The 20,204-nt window shown below is 44.1% G+C and overlaps 1 protein-coding gene across 11 annotated transcripts in view, besides 2 other annotated features; it reads right to left on the reverse strand.

Moving 5' to 3' along the window:
- FRMD5 (FERM domain containing 5) overlaps positions 1–20,204 on the reverse strand; it is a 328,710-nt gene that overhangs the window by 60,456 nt on the left and 248,050 nt on the right. The window lies entirely within an intron of this gene.
- Positions 17,493–17,762: an enhancer, noted in NCBI's record as "active region_9332". NCBI's record gives its function as "activates an Ori minimal core promoter by ATAC-STARR-seq in GM12878 lymphoblastoid cells {active_cell/tissue: GM12878}" and the evidence as "EXISTENCE:reporter gene assay evidence [ECO:0000049][PMID:35858748]".
- Positions 17,873–17,982: an enhancer, noted in NCBI's record as "active region_9333". NCBI's record gives its function as "activates an Ori minimal core promoter by ATAC-STARR-seq in GM12878 lymphoblastoid cells {active_cell/tissue: GM12878}" and the evidence as "EXISTENCE:reporter gene assay evidence [ECO:0000049][PMID:35858748]".

A 20,204-nucleotide genomic window follows, 5' to 3' on the forward strand; every position in this document is an offset into this window, starting at 1 on the left:
TGAATAAATTTTAGTTGTATTTTTCCAACCAGTGCTGAATATCTCAGTGGACTAGTCATGTCACAGCTGCAGAACTACTGGAAACTCAGCCAGGCTTGTTAGGAAAAAACTCATTGCTTTGTATTTGTGAAGCTCATATTCTCTTTCTCTATTCTCTGTCTCTCTCTCTCTCTTCTCTTTCTCTCTCACACTTATACCCCCCGATCCCCACTCCCAACACACACACACATTCTCTAATACAGCTGCACTTCTCATACAACGCTGCTTCAAATAACTTGTAAAGAAAATCTAGAATTTGGGGAAAGATCGACTTCCCCTTGCTCCAACCCTAAGGACAGTTTGACAACTCATTTTATTGCTGCTTTTTTCTTTTTTTTTTTGCAAAAGACAAATGCATGTTTGGCAAAATCTGGGAATTTCTGGGGTTTTAGGGAGTATCCTGGATGGCCAGGGTCAGGAGAAATATGATAAACTCACTGGTCCTCATAACTCTTTGATTATTTCCCTCCTCTTCACAAAAAAATTGTTTACTGGCCAGTGCCAACATATGTGATGGATCCTGAGGTAGACACATTTCATTAGCAAACAGGTCAGGATCTTTGAGTCCTGAGTGCAGTCTGGGTGCAGTTTCCTTTTCAACTCTCCTATCAGGTTACTTATGTTCCTTAGAAGTTGAGGCACAGGGAGCAGAAAGGGGAGGAGCTCTGGGAAGGCAAAGGCTTTGAGAACGAGCACTAAGTAGACTTAGAGTCAAGGCCCTGGTCTGCCACTTCTCAGCTTGTGATCTCAGACCCATCCCTTAATGTACTCAAGCTTCAGCTTCCTTATCTCTAAAACAGAGTTAATCTTACATCTAAGGATGACTGTGGGGCTAAAATCAAGACACAAAATATACATAAAAACCCTGTGAGTTTTCGTGCCAACTTCCTCAGCCTCTTGAGACCTCTTCTTCCTCCAGGATGGATGGACTTGAATGCACAAGGCCTCAGCAATGAGTCAATGCACTCAAGGAACAGAAGCCTGTCCTCCCTGGACAAGAATGCATGAATGGATCTTGGCTACATGTCCACCTTGTAGTGTCCCCAAGATCTGGGAGTGGCTACCATTTTGGAAATATGCCCAAAGTGGCTCTTAAAGTACAAATCTGCGTCTTCTTCTTACCCAAGGCTATTTTTTTCCTGATCAGAAGAGTAGAAAATTTCAAATATATGTAATCAAACCAAATCCCCTCAGAAGCCTGGCAGCCTCTAATCAGTGCCACAGAGACAAAGGCAGAGCTTCTGTGACAGGCTCCTGACATGCTCCCTAGAAAGGAGGAGCTGAATAAGGGGAATAAGATATGACACAATTCCAATAGACACTATACCTTTTAATGCCTTGGCTTTAATTAGAATAAAAAGAAAAAAAGCATTTGGCAAAATATATTTCAAGAAATTAACTCAGCGTCCTGATCTCTCTCAAAAAACAGAACAGGTTCCCTCTGTAGTTAAACCTATGGGAGCTACCTGTAGCATTAGACTCTTCCCCCTGGGATTCCCCAGGGCACTGCACAACAGGATATTGACAGATAAATGAGAGAGGGATGGGCAAGTAGGGCCCACAGCTCTCTGACTGAAGCCCCAACTTCCCCAGAGCATGCCCAGTCACACACAGCTGCTGGCATCCTATCCCAGGACCAGACAAGTCATTTTCACTGCTTCTCCTGAGAAGGACAGCCAGGGCCTCCCTTGAAAGCCCCTTGTCACAGCAAACAGAACTCTGAAGAAGAGTTCCATGGTCTGCCTTGATCTGTGGTCCCACTAGAGGAACAAAAGCCACGTTTATGCCTCCCTTCCCAGCACTGAGTAGAAACAACCTCACTGGAACAACAATAGTGAGAGTCCCAGGAGAGGAGTGAGACAGCTGGGGCCCAGAGCCAGACAGATGGGTGGAGAGACAGTTTCCTGTACAAATACCGAGGCCTAGGAAAGCAGCAGGACAAACCCCGAATCTTCCAATAGTGGTTGTCCCACTGGTGGAGGAGAAGAGGAGAAGGAGGCAAGATAGGAGGCAGACAGCTAGCTCACTCAGAAGGCTGACTTTCCTTAATAAACAGCAAATTAGGAAGCATACCATACTCCGGACCATTGGTTCTCACACCTGAGTCCACCTCAGAATCACCTGGAGGGCTTGTTAAAATACAGATTGCTGGGCCCCGCCCCTAAAGTTTCTAGTTCATAGGTCTGCTGTGGGGCCTGGGAATTGGCATTTCTAACAAGTTCCCAGGTGATGCTGCTGTTGCTGGTCTGGGGATTACTGGCATCTGATGGTCTTGTAGCTCTTGAAGCCAAGATTACAGGGATAAGGGAAAGAGAAGCAGATATTTGACCTCTGTCACAATCCAACTCTGTTAGCACAAACCCCACTTTCATTAACCTTCCACGTTTTCATATAACAAGAGTACCAACTTCAGAGCATTAGACTGTGAGTTAAATATTACAGAGAAACACTGCTTCTTCCTACCAGGTTTTTAAATTCTGCCTTTCATGACAGTGGGCAGCTACCCAACTCTGGCTTGCAAGTTCGAGTCCCCAATTACCATTTATTTTCAATGGCTAACTAGCTCAAAACTCACTGCACTTTTGCTATGAACTAGATCATCAGAAAATAAAGCCAGCAGTTATCATCAAACTCAATCCGGGGAAAGAACTCCCCTTCTCACCCCAGATCTGCTGTCAGTGACAGGGAGTCTGTTCCAGAACATGTCCTATCCTGGCCTTTGGGCTCTCTTGTCTAGGAGGCGGGGCTGGAAGGTGCCCCAGTACCTCATCCTGCTGTCTCCTCCCTACATCTACGCTCCTTGAGGCTCCTTAGTCAGAATTCTGTCTTGGCTGTCAAGACCAGCCTTCTCCTTTCTCTCCTTTTCCTGAGAGAGGATCCAGCTGCCCCTCCATGGAGGGTTGGGGTGGGTATAGGAAATATGCTCTGAGCATGTAGTTCCATGCCAAGGAGGCAAGTCCTCCATGTTCAACTTTGGCAGGGAGTTTGGGGCAGGAGGGAAGCGATGGGAGTAAGAAAAGGCACATTCTGACTGTGATCTCTTGGGCAGGTCATTTTCCCTTTCTGTGCCTCAGTTTCTCTATCTGCAAATAATCTCATGTCCTCTTATGTGCTCAAAATCCTCTGATTCTGTTATTAGTCAATCAAAGTAATAACATCCCAGGTCCATCTTCTAAACAAGGATTTAAAACAGTTTTTTTTTCTTTAAAAAGGATAATCGGGTAGCTTTAACAGGTAGATGTTTATTGCTAGTGTAATTAATCTAAAAAACTCAGGGCCATTGCTCAAAGTAAATGGAAAGAGTAACTAAACAGAATCCATTCAATTTTAGAAACTGCCTCTAGCAGGCCTGACACAGTGAACACCATTATGTGAAACTATTATCCTGCTAGAGTCTGGTCATTTTACATTCCACTGTGAGCGATGGAAAAGTCCCATTAGATCATCTAATGCCCGCCTCCAGCCTCATAAAATGAGGATCGTTGCAAGATCTTCTCAGAGTGGATCCTCAGGCTAATACCAGCCTCTGTCCTTCCCAGGCCCACTATTTCCTAAACTATAACCCAGGCAGCAGCGGGACTGCTGGATTTCTATATGCGAGGGCTTTAGGCGTGACAGTCTGGCTGGGGTGAGGGTGGGGAATAAAGATTTATTTGTATGATCTTGTGTATAAGATTGAGAACTCTTCAACTGTCCAGATAAAGAAGGGATAGGAACTGACAGAGATGGAAAGGGGCTGATAAAGTGTCCCTTGCAACCTCATCTCACTTAACCAGAGGCAGAGCCTCTGAAACGTGGCTGAGGCAGAAGCTGCGGATGTGCTTTCAGACAAGTACCATTGGGTCCCTCAACTTGTTAGTTTCCTGAAGGTTCTCCCACATGTGGTATTTCAGTGGCTGAGCAGCAACAGATGTCTTTTGGTCTATAAATAATTCTTGGGGCCAGGCGTGGTGGCTCCCGCCTGTAATCCCAGCCCTTTCGGGGGACAAGGAGAGCAGATTATCTGAGGTCAGGAGTTTGAGACTAGCCTGGCCAAAATGGTGAAACCCCATCTCTACTAAAAATACAAAAACAAATTAGCCGGGTGTGGTGGCGGGTGCTTGTAATCCCAGCTACTTGGGAGGCTGAGGCAGGAGAGCTGCTTGAACCCGAGAGGCAGAGGTTGCAGTGAGCCGAGATCGTGCCATTGCAACTCCAGCCCGGGCGGCAAGAGTGAAACTCTGTCTCAAATAAGTAATAAACAAATAAATAATTCTTGGGCTTGGAAATGTATGTCTTAATGTGCACTGGGGGTAGGGTGGGAATGACCAGGTCCCCAGAGCATCAGGAAGAACCATGGTCCAGGCTTTGCAGTGTGATAGAGAGAGCAAACAGAGGAGGCAAGTTTTCTGGAAGTGTGTGACTGCTCCTTCTTCAGTTTTTGGTCAAGAAGAGTAGGGGTGAGTGGAGGGGAGGCAGGAACCTTGAGCCCAGCGGCTCCCTGAGGCCTCTGGCGCATCCCTGTCATCTTCTGTGCCTCTGCACATTGGTTGGGATATTACTGCTGAAAAAAATCTTAACATCTGCTGCCAACTGAATATTGTGTTATTTGAAGGCCAAAAAGTGGATGGAAAACCATTGGGAAAAACACTCAATTCAGTGTGTATCTACTGAGGGTCTAATCTGAGCAAGGCACTACCTGAGCTATCTCAAGGCTGCAGAGACACGCGGTTTAGACATACCTGAAAAAGTGACTTGGGAAAAGCCATCTTTTCTCTGATCTCATGATATGCACTGCCTGTACTGCTTAGCTGTCCTAATGCTAACCTTCCCATGTTTAATTCCACTCTCCTCTCCATTACTGGGAGAGACAGAAGCATGGTGTCCAGTGTTTGCATTCATGGTTCACAGCCCAGTGCCCTGTACATGATCCTCAAGAAGTATTTGTGGGTTTTTGTTTCTGTTTTGAGACAGGGTCTTGCTCTGTTGCTGAGGCTCAGGCTGGAGTACAGTGGCACAATCACCGCTCACTGTAGCCTTGACCTCCTGGGCTCAAGCGATCCTCCTACCTCAGCCTCAGAATAGCTGGAATCACAGGCATGCGCCACCACACCCAGTTAATTTTTAAAGTTTCTGAAGAGGGGGGTCTCCCTATGTTGCCCAGGCTGGTCTTGAACTCCTGGGCTCAAGGGGTCCTTCTGCCTTGGCCTCCCAATGTGCTGGGATTACAGCCATGAGCCACCACGCCCGGCCAAGAAGTATTTGTTGATTAATTACTAAATGACTATGACCAGGCTAATTACCTGATGAGCTCCTCCTTCCTGAGTCTTCAACTCCTAATACCCAGTGAGATCAGTGTAGGAAAGAACAGAGGATCAAACTGGGGTAAGGGTATTCCTGGAGATGGTATCCCTGTCCAAATCAGAGTCTAGCTTAACTCTAGACATTCACTTCAGAATCGGTCTGCTGGGTTCTGCCTTTTATCTAGTTTGCTGATTCTAACTACATAGGCTGTACTTGGGAAGGGAGGGAAGGGGAAGAAGCTGACTGAGACAAGGGGGTCCCAGCCTCAACTCCAGAAAGATGCCGACAGTACAGCCCGGTTCTAAAGTAACTTCTTATACAACCAACACAGTAAAGGCAAGTAAAATGGCTTTGCTTCCAGGAAGATCGCTAACTGGGTCCTTGCCATTGGAAAGGGAATTAAAAGCTCAATGCTGGAAAAAACTAATAATTACATTTGCTTAATTATATTGATGTGAACCTCATAGCCAAGTTATTTTTAGGAAATTGATGCTAAAAAATACTGCCATGCTCTTGGGGTCATGTGGAGCAGGATTTAGGATGTTTTTAACTTTTGGAAATTATCAAATGCCTTTCTATAGGAAAGTGTTACATTTCTAAGATTTTTCTCTTTACAGTTTTTCTGATGCTTTGCCTGTCTTTCTAAAATACATCCTGACACCTAGACAAAATGGCATAGGATCATTGGGCTTCAGATCAATGGGTGATAAATGATAACATAGAATTGGCTGCCAGCCTTATCATTTGTCACAGGTCAGATTCCTTAGAAAATAAACTCCGGGACAGAGTTTAGCATGAAGGATGTTTATTAAGAAGTGCTCTTCGGCCAGGCGTGGAGGCTCATGCCTGTAATCCCAGCACTTTGGGAGGTGGATCACTTGAAGCCGGGAGTTCAAGACCAGCCTGGCTAACATGGCAAAACCCTGTCTCTACTAAAAATAAAGAAATTAGCTGGGCGTGATGGTACGTGCCTGTAATTCCAGCTACTAGGGAGGCTGAGGCAGGAGAATCGCTTGAACTTGGGAGGCTGAGGTTGCAGTGAGCCAAGATCGCGCCACTGCACTCTGCACTCCAGCCTGGGTGACAGAGTGAGACACTGTCTCAAAAAAAAAAAAAAAAAAAGTGCTCCTGGGAACAACATCCATGGAAAAGAGGGGGAGAAAGCTGGAGTGAGCAGAGGGAGAAGCTGAGCTGCCACGTGGGCCTAGTGTTGACTTGGTTGGACCATGGGGAGATCTGGAGCCAGAGGGGCCCTTTAGAGTTGTTTCAAGTTTAGCCAAGATAGCCAAGTCTTTTATAAGCTTGTCTCAAGCGGTAACTGAATGTTGACCACTGCCAACAGGACCCCTAGTGGGGACCTGGGTGGAGTATTAGCCTCCATCACACCACTCTTGACAGAAACCCCAAATCATAACTACCATTTCTTAAGAGCCTACCATGTGCAGGCTGGGAGCGGTGGCTCATACCTGTAATCCCAGCACTTTGGGAGGCCATCCTGGCTAACACGGTGAAACTCTGTCTCTACTAAAAACACAAAAAATTAGCCGGGTGCGGTGGCGGGCGCTTGTAGTCCCAGCTACTCGGGAGGCTGAGGCAGGAGAATGGTGTCAACCCAGAAGGCAGAGCTTGCAGTGAGCCGAGATCGCGCCACTGGCAATCTGGCCTGGGCGAAAGAGCGAGACTCCGTCTCAAAAAAAAAAAAAAAAAAAAGCCTACCATGTGCAAAGCATTCTACAAACATTATCTCTAATGCTAACAACAATCTCACAAGGAAAGTTTCTATTAACCCCATTTTATAAAGAGAAACAAAGGCTCAGTGAGGTTAAATGACATGCCTAAGACAACACAACTAGTATATGGGACTCAAATCCACGCTGCCTTGCTCCAAAGCTCACATTCTTTCCAAACGCTAGACTCTTATTTTTTGATTTTCTCATATAGCTGCTGCAGAAGCAACCTACAGCTCCATCCTTCTATGCAGCTTTGGGTTGCCTTTATAGTCCTCTGACTATATTTATAAATTGGTAGCTATGCACATATATACAGCCCATTGCTTGAATTCTTTTCTGAACTCTTTGGATTCCTTAGACCTGGGCACTATTGGCCTGCTTCAACCAGAACACCACTCCTGTTGAAAACAGTATAGAGGCTGGGCTTCTCCAAGAAGGTACACAAAGAGGGAAAGCCTCAAAATTTAACAGAAACCAGTAACTTAGCCAACAATATTTGAAGATTATGAAGCAAAAAATGAGCAGCATTTAAAGCCAGATTTCTTTTTAGATTTTTTTTTCTTAATGACACCATGCTCATCCTTAATAGATTAATTAATTTATTTTTGGAGACAGAGTCTCACCCTGTCACCCAGGCTGGAGTGCAGTGGCACGATCTTGACTCAGTGCAACCTCCGCCTCCTAGGTTGAAGGAATTCTCCAACCTCAGCCTCCCGAGTAGCTGGGATTACAAGCATGCACCACCACATCCGGCTAATTTTTTTTTTTTTTGTATTTTTAGTAGAGATGGAGTTTCCCCATGTTGGCCTGGCAGGTCTCGAACCCCTGACCTCAGGTGATCCGCCTGCCTCGGCCTCCCAAAGTGCTAGGATTACAGGTGTGTGAGCCACTGTGCCCAGCCAATAGATTTATTTTTTGATCAGAACATTTCTGAATTTCTATATCCTGGAGATTAAATATCAGTGGATAACCAATCCCAAATCCCCCAGATGGGGGAGCTGATGAGGCAGGTGCCAGGGATAACATGAAAGGTTATATACAACCTCTCTATATTCCCCAAAGGCTGTTATTAATCTTGTTCTTCCTTTCCACACTCCAGATCTCCCTAATCTTCAGCATGACATGCATGTGCCAAAAGAAGTCATCAGTTCAAGACAAGAAAAGCTGCTGCCTCAGTAAAAAGATGCACCATTGACAAGTTCATTTGGCTCTGTGGGTTTTTCTCCCCAGGTAGAGTGTCTTATAGTTGTTCTCTGGGGTGCTCTTTTTTATTAATTAATGTATATATTTATTTTTATCTTTTTGAGATAGGTTCTCACTCTGTCACCCAGGCTGGAGTGTCGTGGCACAATCATGGCTCCCTGTAGCCTTGAACTCCTGAGCTCAATTGATCCTCCTACCTCAGCCCCCTGGGTAGCTGTGACTACAGGTATGTGCCAACAGGCCCAGCTAATGTTGGTTTGTTTTTTTGTAGAGACGGGTTTTCAGCATGTTGCCTAGGCTGGTCTCAAACTCCTGGGCGCAAGTGATCCACTTACCTCAGCCTCCCAAAGTGCTGGGATTACAGGTGTGAGCCACTGTGCCAGGCTGGGGTGCTCTTTTTCATTTGTCAGAGATGCTTAGAAAAGCACCAGGCGCGGTGGCTCATGTGCTCCCAGCGCTTTGGGAGGCAAGGCAGGCGGATCACCTTAGGTCAGGAGTTTGGGACCAGCCTGGCCAACAGGGTGAAACCCTGTGTCTACTAAAAATACAAAAATTAGCCAGGCTTGGTAGCGGGTGCCTGTAATCCCAGCCACCTGTGGGGCTGCGGAGAGACAATCACTTGAACCTGGGAGGCAGAGGTTGCGGTGAACCCAGATGGAGCCACTGCACTCCGGAGCCTGGGCGACAGGGCAAAACTCTGTCTCAAAACAAACAACAACAACGACAAAAGATGCTTTAAAAAGTGCGTGGCATCAGACTGTGCAAGATGCAGTCAATGAACAGTTTCTGGGGCAGCCTCCTCAGTGCATTCAAGTCATCCCTGCACTCCAAGAAAGTAATGGGGCCCTATTTCTTGTGCCCATTCTTCCCGCCCAGGGAGACTCTAGAGATGAGAAATGATAGAATGATTCCCTTGACTATCCATTAATTAGAAAGTGAACCTTATTTTTGGGAAGGGGAGATTATCTCCCAAATTACAATGGGATGATAGCTGTTATAAGAGAGGTATGTACAAGGTACAGGGGTAGTTTGGTGGGAGTGAGACCATCATGTCTAGAGCATGTTCTAGGAATTTCAAATAACTGCCTTGGTACAAGGACGTCGGTTGCAGATCAATATGGAGAGGTAAACAAATGCCACATGGTGAAGGGCTGTGTATACCATGCTAAGAACTAGTCGGGAAATCACTGTAACAATACAGGTGAGCTATAATAGGCAATAAGATAAGGGCAGTGAGGATAAAAATTAAATCAATATTTAGGTGGCAGAATAAATAGTATTTAAGTGACCAATTTGAAGAGGGGCGTGAATGAGAATTAGGAATGGAGGATAATTAGCAAGGAGGCTGGGAGAACAGGTTGAAAAGCTATCTTTAAATCGAGTATTATCACAATGACTTTGGTGAATGGGTCATTAATATTTTCAGGGCTCTGACTACTGAATTAATTAAGGAAATAATTAAGATTTCTTAGATCAGCCATTGCATTGATTTCTTTTTAGAGCACACTGTTTTGGCAAACCCTATGTTTTAAAAAAATGTTTGTTAGAATACATTATCTTCTTGTAGGTACCAAGGTTGAAGTCAATTATCAAAGCATAGAAATCATGTTTGGGCCAGGCAGAGTGGCTTACACCTGTAATCTCAGCACTTTGGGAGGCCAAGAAGCGGATTGCTTGAGCCCAGCAGTTGGAGACCAGCCTGAGCAACATGGTGAAACCCCATCTCTACAAAAAATACAAAAAATTAGCCAGGTGTGGTAACGTGTGCCTGTAGTCCCAGCTACCCAGGAGGCTGAGGTGGGAGGATCGCTGTGTTGCCCACGTTGGGGTGTAGTGACTGATCATAGCTTACTGCAGCCACAAACTCCTGGGCTTATGTGATCCTGCCACCCAGCCTCTTGAGTAGCTAGCACTACAGGTGGGTGTGTGCCACCATGCCTGGCTACTTGTACATTTCTTTAAAGCAAGTTTTAGATGCTCTTTTCTGAGCTTCCATAGCATTCTGGACATAACCCTGTCAATATGTTGTATCTGCTTCTCAATATGTTGTAATTATCTGTAAGTTATCATGGAGAGCTGGGTGGGTGGAATAGGGACTTTGTCTTACTCCTTCTGGTATGCCCACTTCTTGAAATATGGTGGGCACTTAAAAAATAAATCTTGACAGCATAAAAGCTGCAAAAATAAAAGTAGTAAATTATGTCTAGCAAATACCATTCTAAGTGCTTTTTTCAGACTGGCCAGCAGAACTGAAACTAATTCTGCACAGAAAACTAAGGGCGGGGGGGCGTTGCTCCTGTGAGCTCAGCTGCACCTAAACACTAACTTTGAGTTGTATACTGGTGATCATTTTCATAAGAAAGTGGGTCAATTCCAGACATGAAATACATCTGAAGACGTAGTCCATCAGCAGGAGCCTTTGGAGGCAATATTTTCTTACCTCTAAGATTCTTATTCAAGAAATATATTAAGAGAATTACTGATGCTCATATTTATTGTCAAATTAGCCATGACAGCTGCAAAATGTTTTCATTTTAAGTTGAATCCCCAAAGCTTCATTTGCATTTTCTCTAACTTAAGGATATTGTTAGAAAAAGCCAGGCTTGCTGGTATAGGGGTAGAGGGAGAGGAAGGAAGAAGATATTTCATCTTTGGTTCTTCTGAGTTGAATTAAATATTTTAAGTTAATCATCTCTGATCTGTCATTAGGGGAGTTGTCCATATGCTTTTTACAAATTATGACTGCTAGGAATTCATAATTAAAGAATGTATGAAGGTCAAGAATATGGAATTTCAACTAATGTCTGAAATGATGGCCTCAAAGACAAGAGTCCCTCAGACATCTGCCCCCTCCCTCTCCTAGAGCAGTCTAGTACAAGGACTGCTGCTGAGCTGCAAGCATTTCCAAATGCAGCAACACCGAAACTCATTATAGTTTTAACAGCTTGCTTTTCAGAGTCTATGGGACTTTGACAATCCAAACTTAGGTCTGCTTAATGGAATGGCTTTGCTTTAGAAAACAGATTTTGTGGAGGGTTTTATAACCCTCTTCTCCCAAAAAATGCATTTAACCTTACTCATCTGGAACAATGGAAGACAGCAAAAGACAGGGAGAAGGCTGGGATTAGTATTTAGTGATATCTTAATTTTAAATGTTTACAGTGAAATGAAATTCTTGTTACTATCAATGACAACACATAAGAGTCAAAATATAAATGAGTCATGAATAATTAGGTATTAATCATAACACATAATATACTGTCATGAATACTAATGTTCCATAAAAGAGAATATTTCTTTTTTGAGACAGAGTCTTGCTCTGTCACCCAGGCTGCAGTGCAGTGGTACCACCTTGGCTCACTGCAATCTCCACCTCCCGGGCTCAAGAGAGCCTCCTATCTCAGCCCCCCAAGTAACTGGGACTTTAGGCGTGTGCCACCAGGCCCAGCTAATTATTGTATTTTTTGTAGAGATGGGGTTTTGCCGGCTGGGCACGGTGGCTCACTCCTGTAATCCCAGCACTTTGGGAGGCCGAGGTGGGCAAATCACCTGAGGTCGGGAGTTCAAGACCAGCCTGACCAACATGAAGAAACCCTGTCTCTACCAAAAATACAAAATTAGCTGGGTGTGGTGGCGCACACCTGTAATCCCAGCTACTCGGGAGGCTGAGGAAGACAGAATTGCTTGAACCCAGGAAGTGGAGGTTGCAGTTAGCCGAGATTGTGCCATTGCACTCCAGCCTGGGCAACAACAGTGAAACTGTATCTCAAAAAAAAAGAAAAGAAAAAAGAGACAGGGTTTTGCCATGTTGCCCAGACTGGTCTCAAACTCCTAGACTCAAGTGATCCTCCTGCCTTGGTCTCCTAAAGTGTTGGGATTACAGGCGAGAGCCATTGCTCCTGGCCGTAAGAGAGTACTTTAATATTAAGGATTAAGTAGGCCCAGAACTGTAAGACCTTGGATATTTCATGATACTTTTAACTCACCTCTGTACTGGGTAGAATAGTGTCCCCCAAAATTCATGTTCACACAGAACCTTAGAATGTGACCTTATTTGGAAATAAAGTCTTTGCAGATGTAATTAGTTAAGATGAGGCCATACTGGATTAGGGTAGACCTAAATCCAGTTATTGGTTCCTTATAAGAAGACCATGAAGAGACATAGACACACACAGAGGGAAGACAGAGGCAGAGGTCAGAATGATGTAGTAACAAGCAAGGAATGGCAAGGATTGCCAGCAACCACTAGCAGCTGGGAAGAAGCAAGGAAGAATTCTTCCCTAGAGTCTCCAGAGGGAGAATGTCTCTGCTGACACCTTGATTTCAAACTTCTAGTTTCCAGAACTATGACAGAATAAATTTGTTGTTTCAAGCCAGTTTGTGATTGCTATGGCAGCCCTAGAAAATGAATACAACCTCTCCTTCAGGGCAAAAGTTCCACACTGTCCATGAAGTCTTTCCTTACCAAATCTGGCCATTGTGACCCCTCTTTCTACTTAGAGCAAAGCAGACTTTGTTATTTTGCACTTGGGGCTCTCCATGATTGGTCATTTACTTATCTTTTCAGTACCATATCCCATCGGCCACTGCCTTAGTCCTTTTCTGTTGCTTATAACAGAATATCTGAAACTGGGTAATTTATAAAGAAAGGAAATTTATTTCTTACAATTATGGAGGCTGAGAAGTCCAAGGTTAAGGCACTGCATCTGGCAAGAGCCTTCTTGCTGGTGGGAACTCTATAGAGTCCTGAAGTGCCACAGGGCATCACATGATCATGGGGCAGAGTGGGCTAATGTGCTCGGCTCAGATCTGTCTTCCTCTTCTAAGAAAGCCACCAGTTCCATTCCCATGATAACCCATTAATCCATTAACCCTTTAATCTATTAACGCATTAAGCCATTCAGGAGGGCAGAGCCCTTACAAATCCCATCACCACTTAAAAGGACCCACTTCTTTTGTTTTTGAGACGGAGTTTTCACTCTTGTTGCCCAGGCTGGAGTGCAGTGGCGCAATCTCTGCTCACTGCAACCTCCACCTCCCGAACTCCCGGGTTCAAGTGATTCTCTTGCCTCAGCTTCCTGAGTAGCTGAGATTACAGGTGTGAGCCGCCACGACCAGCTAATTTTTTTTTTCGAGATGGAGTCTCACTGTGTTGCCCAGGCTGGAGTGCAGTAGCATGATCTTGGCTCACTGCAACTTTCACCTCCTGGGTTCAAGCGATTCTCCTGCCTCAGCCTCCCAAGTAGCTGGGACTACAGGCACCCGCTACCGGCTGGGTTCCTTGGAGTCTGTCCCACGCATACATAGTTAAAGGGTCAGTCAGATATTTGGGCAGGATTTATGCACAGAATTTGGGGCTTCCCATTTGCCTCTCTCCTTTCTGGAATTTTCCTCCTCATTTTCCAGCTGCTGTGGCTATCCCAAGCTGTGGCCTCTGTGGGTTTGATAGAAACTGTGGGTTTCTATAAGTTTATTTATTTATTTTTTTTTTTTTTGATAGAGGGGGGGTTTCACCATGCTGCCCAGGCTGGTCTCCTCCTGAGTTCACGTGATCTGCCCACCTTAGCCTTCCAAAGTGCTGGGATTACAGGCATGTGCCATAGCGCCCGGCAGGTTTCTATGAGTTTATATGACACCAGATAGGACATCTCCTTAATCTAAAAGCCATTAAAAAATGGGAAACTTACCCACTGCCATTTCCTTCTTCCAAGGGTAGACCCTACACTACCCTGCCTACTTTTTATTATGCTCCAGTGGCATTAGGTGGTTGCTTTTTATATTTTATTCAACATTTACACTTATCTGTGGGAGAGTTGGTTCAATAGGAAGTGCTTGGTCATTATAGGAAGTAAAGACTCCCTTCATTAAAAATGTCATTTTTTTTAAATAAAAAATTTTCCTGAACCCAAAGAACTAGAAAGAATACTAAACAAAAGCCAAAGTCACGGTCAGTTGTAGGCAGAGGAGAACTGATTTAAATTACTACTGAGGACATTTCAATCTTTTTTAAAATATGAAATTACTTTTACTTGTTACAGTGGAATATCATTATGAATGAAGTAGGTCCTGGGTACCTGAGCCTGTTATATGATTGCCAAGCCCTCATCCTATGCCAACATAGGACACTCATACAAAAACACCACATGGAACTTCTTGGACACACAACTGCATGCATCCCACTGTAAATGTACTGAAGTGTAATATAACCTTTGTGAAGATTTCTTAGGCATATGGACGGGAGGGCACATTGCACCATAGAAAGCAAAACTCTGCCCCCTGCCCCCCAGATCTTTTAAAAATGTCTTCCCCAGGTGGTGGCTCACCTGTAATCCCAGCACTTTGGGAGGCCAAGGCAGGTGGATCACGAGGTCAGGAGTTCAAGACCAGCCTGGCCAAGACGGTGAAACCCTGTCTCTACTAAAAATACAAGAATTAGCTGGGCATGGTGGCATGTGCCTGTAATCCCAGCTACTTGGGAGGCTGAGACACAGAACTGCTTAAACCCGGGAGGCGGAGGCTGTAGTGAGCCGAGATTGCACCACTGCACTCCAGCCTGGGCAACAGAGCGAGACTCTGTCTCAAAAAAAAAAAAAAATTCCCCAAAGTCTCACTTCCTCTGACAGCACCCAAATCTCTCCTCCTCTTGGCTTCCCTCTTCCAGTCCTATCCAGGTCCTTTGCTCTCTTATCTCTCTCTTCTTTTAAAGGCAAAGCTCTTGACTGTTCTAAATCTGCAGCTGTATCTATTTCTCTGCTTATCACAGCAAAGGCAGCATGGTTAGCCATGCAACTACAGGATTCTTCTTCCTCAGTGTGTATGTGTGTGCGTGTATAGCATGACTGTAAATACTTATAAGTTAATAGTTTTCTCCTGTTTATATACGCATGTACACGAGGAAATAACATAGGCTGGAAAGGGATATCGTTCAGGCTGGCAGAGTCTGAGCACTAACTATGTGCCATGTACTTTATTTACACACATTATTTCTAATTTTATTTTTCAGATGAGAAAATTCAGCCTTAGAGCTACTGTTCATTCTCTTTCCACTACAACACACAGCCTCTGGGGTATCTCTAACATAATAATGTAAAATGCATTAGAAAACATGAAGGATATGTCTGGGAGTCTTAGGGGAGGGAAAGGAAGTAGAGGATTGGGTTGTCTTGTGTTCAGGAGAGAAGGTTTGGGATCTGGGTCGTTGAGGGAAGAAGTTTAATGAAAGAGTTCTGCTAGATGGGGCAGTGGGTTCCCAGGATGGAAGGGGGTCTCCACTTTCACTTTGCTCTCTTCTGTCCCCCTGCTCCCTACATGGTGGTCACATGGCCTCCTCTGTGCTCCTCAAACACTTCAAGCTCATTCTAAAAGACAGACACATTCTGAATGATGACCTGGTTAATTTATTTACTAGTGTTAGTTAAAGTAGATACTTTGGAAGTCTGGTAGGCAACTTCAGTCTTTAGAACACCAGGTAACACCATTTCTAGCATTAAACTACTTCTCTCAGTTTACTCATAAGCTGGAAAAGTACAAGCTTTTAAATTCCCGTACACCTTGTCAATTTGAGGTGAACTGGTTCAAAAGAAAAAGGAACCTACAGAAATGTCTACTTTTAAAGTTATCACTTGAATAGAATTTAATGAATACTAGTGCTTAAGCAACTTCTGTTTCATTGTATAATATCCTTTAAAATCTAAATTTCCTGGCATAAATGTTTTGGATGCTTCACTTTTAGCCAGCATTACACAGCGGTGGCTGCTAGATATTTACCTTGAGTGTGAGAGTATATGTGAAGAATATTAGCTAGGAAATAGACTTCTTGGTAGATTACAAAAAGCTGTGCATGGCTATACAATTTCCATTTATTCTGTTTTCCAAACTCCATATATTTAAAAGCTATCACCTCTCAATTTCATGCTGATAACTTTGAGTTTGGCAAAAGTTGACAGTTAAAACTATCTTCCTATAGTGTTTGGGTATGGCTTTATAAAAAGCAATTTACAAAAGAAAATCCATTTGAAATTTTAAATTTAATTTCAAAATGATGGTTTTTATAATCCCTGGTTTTAAGGAGGTTGCAAGGAATGGAAAGACATGAGAAACAAAAAGAAGAATGAAGAAAGAAAGAAAGACGGAGAGGGCAAGGGGATGAATGGTTGCATCATGGACCGAGGTGAGGACAATCAGAAAGGCAGGGAGGAATGCCACACCCAGGGAGACAGCACAGGTGCACTTTATATCAGACAGAGTGTGTAGAGGCCTGGGAAAGCTTTAGTTTTCATAAATTCAATCTCCCTTATTGCTGAAGCAGAGGCAGCTGGGATACAGGAAGATTAACTGATAACTCAAACCCTACTACATTTCAAACCCCTCCAGTACTTAAACCTTTTATCCCAGATGTTAGTAAAAGCTAACGAGTAGCCAAGCTGGCAATTTTTAATAACTATCCTTGGGCTTATTCTCCCACAGGTGTAGATCCTGAATAAGAGGGGTAGGGAGAGAAGGATAAAGAAAGCTGATGTTGGCTGAGTGCTAACTCTGTGTCAGGTACTGTGTTAAGCACTGTGCATGTATTCTTTAATCATCACAACAACCTTATGAGGTAGGTACCACAATCCCGCCCACTTAAAAAAGGGAAAATCAAAGTACAGAGAAAGCAGGCAAACTTGCTTAGTAAGTGACTGAGCTGGGAATTGAACCCAAGCAGTTTAATTATAGAACCTGAATATATAATCATTGTGCCATATGGCATTTTCCAAAATAACAAAAAATAACCAAGTTGACAGGATAAAAGGGATTGAAAGTGTATTGTACTCTAATATATGGCTGCTGCCTGGGAAACTGTTAGGATATAGTGGTAGAAGTCTGGAGTCCTCTTCAGTGTACATTTCTGCCACCCACCATTACTTGTAAGCATGGGGGAAGAAAAAAACCTACCTGAAACCATCCTTTCTTCTAAATTCAAATTTGAATAAGTTAAAGAATTAAAAATCTGTTTGGATTTTTGACATGTTCATTCCATTATATTAAAATTTCTATTAAATGTCAAATCCTCCTTGTGGGGAACATTTCGGTAATTTGGTGGTTGAATCATGTAGCAATTACAAGCCTAACTTATAAAACAGTTTCCATAAGGAGGGCATATTTTTTTCCAAAGTATGTATAAATACACACACATACCAATACTCCCTCACTCTATATAAGATACCTTAAAGCCAAGTTCCCATTTTTCAGGTTCTATTTATATGCAACCAGTTCTAAGAATTCTCCGAAAAGGACAGGCCTGTACTGTCCCCTAACTAACATCTGTCAGAAGAAAACTCCTCATCCATTTTTCAGGCATGACCCACTTTGAGGGTTCAGATTCTGTGATGAGTCACATGCAAATCTTCTAAGAACCTTGATGGGTTGCAAATGAGATGAAAATGAAAATGACCAAAATGTTCAGAGTCAACCACCTTAGTTTCTCTTTCCTATTTGCCATCTGTCCACAGCTCATTAAGTTCAAATCATATTTTTGTGAGTAAGAATCTAGAATTTGGGGACCTCTTCATGGGACACTTCTGCTTCACAGACATACAGGCCAAAAGAAGCACTAAGCAGGCTTCAGGGCTCCATGGTTAGTAGGCAAAGCCTGCAGGGAAAGAGCTCAGCAAGGGTCACCAATGGGGACACCTCAGGCACCCAAACTTACCACTTTGGTGGCCTGTGTGGATGACTGGGAAAGGCCCTGCAAAGCCCCTGCAAGGTTCCCTGACATCCCTAGCAGTAACTGTGAGCTTCTTACTCCTTCCCTTCCCCTCAGTCCCATCCACTACCATCTATGCTCACTGTCCACATGGGTTCCCCTTCACAATGGGATGGGCTTTCCATCCCTTTTAAAAATCTGTCTTAGGGCCCTCATAACTTTCCACCCAGTGATATAATTATTCACAAACATATTCTACTTCCTACTAAACTGTGAGCTCCCTTCAGGTAGAACCTACATCCAATTCCCCTTTCTGGAACTCATGGAGTCTTGCTGATAGATGCTCAAAAAAACACTGAATTAAACAAATGGTCCTAGAAGCCAGTCTCTGAAAGTCCTGCTTGGTAGCAACTACAGGATGAGATGGGCACCATATCAGCCTCAAAATGTTCATTCCTTGTACGACACTAGAGTTGTTGCATCATTCCACATAGCCAATGGTGTTTTTTGTAAGTTGGCTTTGTGTACTCCCCAGTGTCTTACAGGTGAAGCAGTCCAATTAGGCAATGATTGTTTAAACACACATTAATCATGCATTAGGAGTCCTAAATTGAATAACACAATATCCAGGAAAATACCCTGGACACAAGGCATCCATTACAGACAGAAGTGATCTCTCAAGTCGTGCTGCATACATATTTGGAGAGTAAGTGCACTTCAGGGAGTTCTGCTAACTTAAAAAAAAAAGGATGAAAGAAGAAGACATTTGCATGCTGCATGGAGATTCCAAGGCTTGGGAAGGGCACACGTGTCAGGCAGCCAGGAGCTCTGGAACTTGCATTGGTCATCACAATTATGCCTCAGTTTCTTGAACTGCTTCCTTCTTCCTTCTTGGTATGCAGGAAGGCTAGAGGTTGTCCTACACTGCATCTGGGCAGGCTCTGGTTACAAATTCAGGCCCACTGCTCAGTGGTCTCAGCCCTCCTAGCTGAGGTACTGGTGGAATGGTGCAGCCTCTGAAGAAACCCATTCAGATCTCTGCCCTAGAGGCCATGTGTATTAGATGTGCTTCTGTACAACCGGGAAGGTGGATAGGTGAACGAAGGAGTAGGGTGTGACCAAGGAGGGACATATGCCTCCTTTAATGAGATCCTAAATTCAATCCTATTTTCCTCAATAAAAAGGGAGCAGGCCATTGTCTGGGGAGGAAAATTGGTTTCATGCTTTAAAACACGCATTCACATAGACAAACAGCCATGCTTAAACTACGATAGACTGAAAGCTGATGACAAGTCCTTGGGGATGATGATTCTATAGTCTCTCTTCAGCTACCTCAGGCATACTTGGAAATACATTTGCATTCACACCCATTCCTGTGGGCAGGGATGCATTAAGAGAGACACCGACTGAGCCTCTCTTAACCTCAGTTTCACCTGCAGCTCCTAAATAATGTGGGCAGAGGCCAAGCGTTCCCATTCAATGGATCTGAGTCCCCAGAGTGAGCTCAGCTTGGGACCTGGCATCCTGAGATGATGAAGAGAATTTTGACAATAAGGCACAGCTGGGACATCCTTACCAGCGACAGCAAACCCCAGATTCTAAAATGGTTTACTCCAGCTGCCTTGCTCAGTGCTATTTTAATAACCGGAGAGGCTGGCTGTTTAACAGTTGAATGCTTCCCCTGCCATCATTTTGGTACTTTGATTACAGGCAAAGTGACACTGACTTTTAACAACAGGGATATATAGTCTTCAATATAATGCCCCTTATATCAATGGAGGATGATTAATCTTGGTTTCTTCCCTCGAAATGCGGTGTGAGACCAGATAACAAAATTCAGGTGGGCCAGTCAGAAGATCTACAGAGGAAATGATCAAATCAGGTAATTAGCATATGCATCACCTGAAACATTTATCATTTCTCTGTTTTGAGAACATAAAAATCTGTTCTTCTACCATTAGAAAATATACAATAAATAGTGCCAGGCGTGGTGGCTCACACCTATAATCCCAGCACTTTGGGAGGCCAAGGTGGGCAGATCAGAAGGTCAGGAGATCGAGACCATCCTGGCTAATACGGTGAAACCCTGTCTGTACTGAAAATACAAAAAAAATTACCCGGGCATGGTGGCGGGCACCTGTAGTCCCAGCTACTCGGGAGGCTGAGGCAGGAGAATGGTGTGAACCCAGGAGGCGGCACTTGCAGTGAGCCAAGATCGCGCCACTGCACTCCAGCCTGGGCCACAGGGTGAGACTCCATCTCAA

This window comes from Homo sapiens, chromosome 15 (genome assembly GCF_000001405.40).
Source record: "Homo sapiens chromosome 15, GRCh38.p14 Primary Assembly".
NCBI lineage: Eukaryota > Metazoa > Chordata > Mammalia > Primates > Hominidae > Homo > Homo sapiens.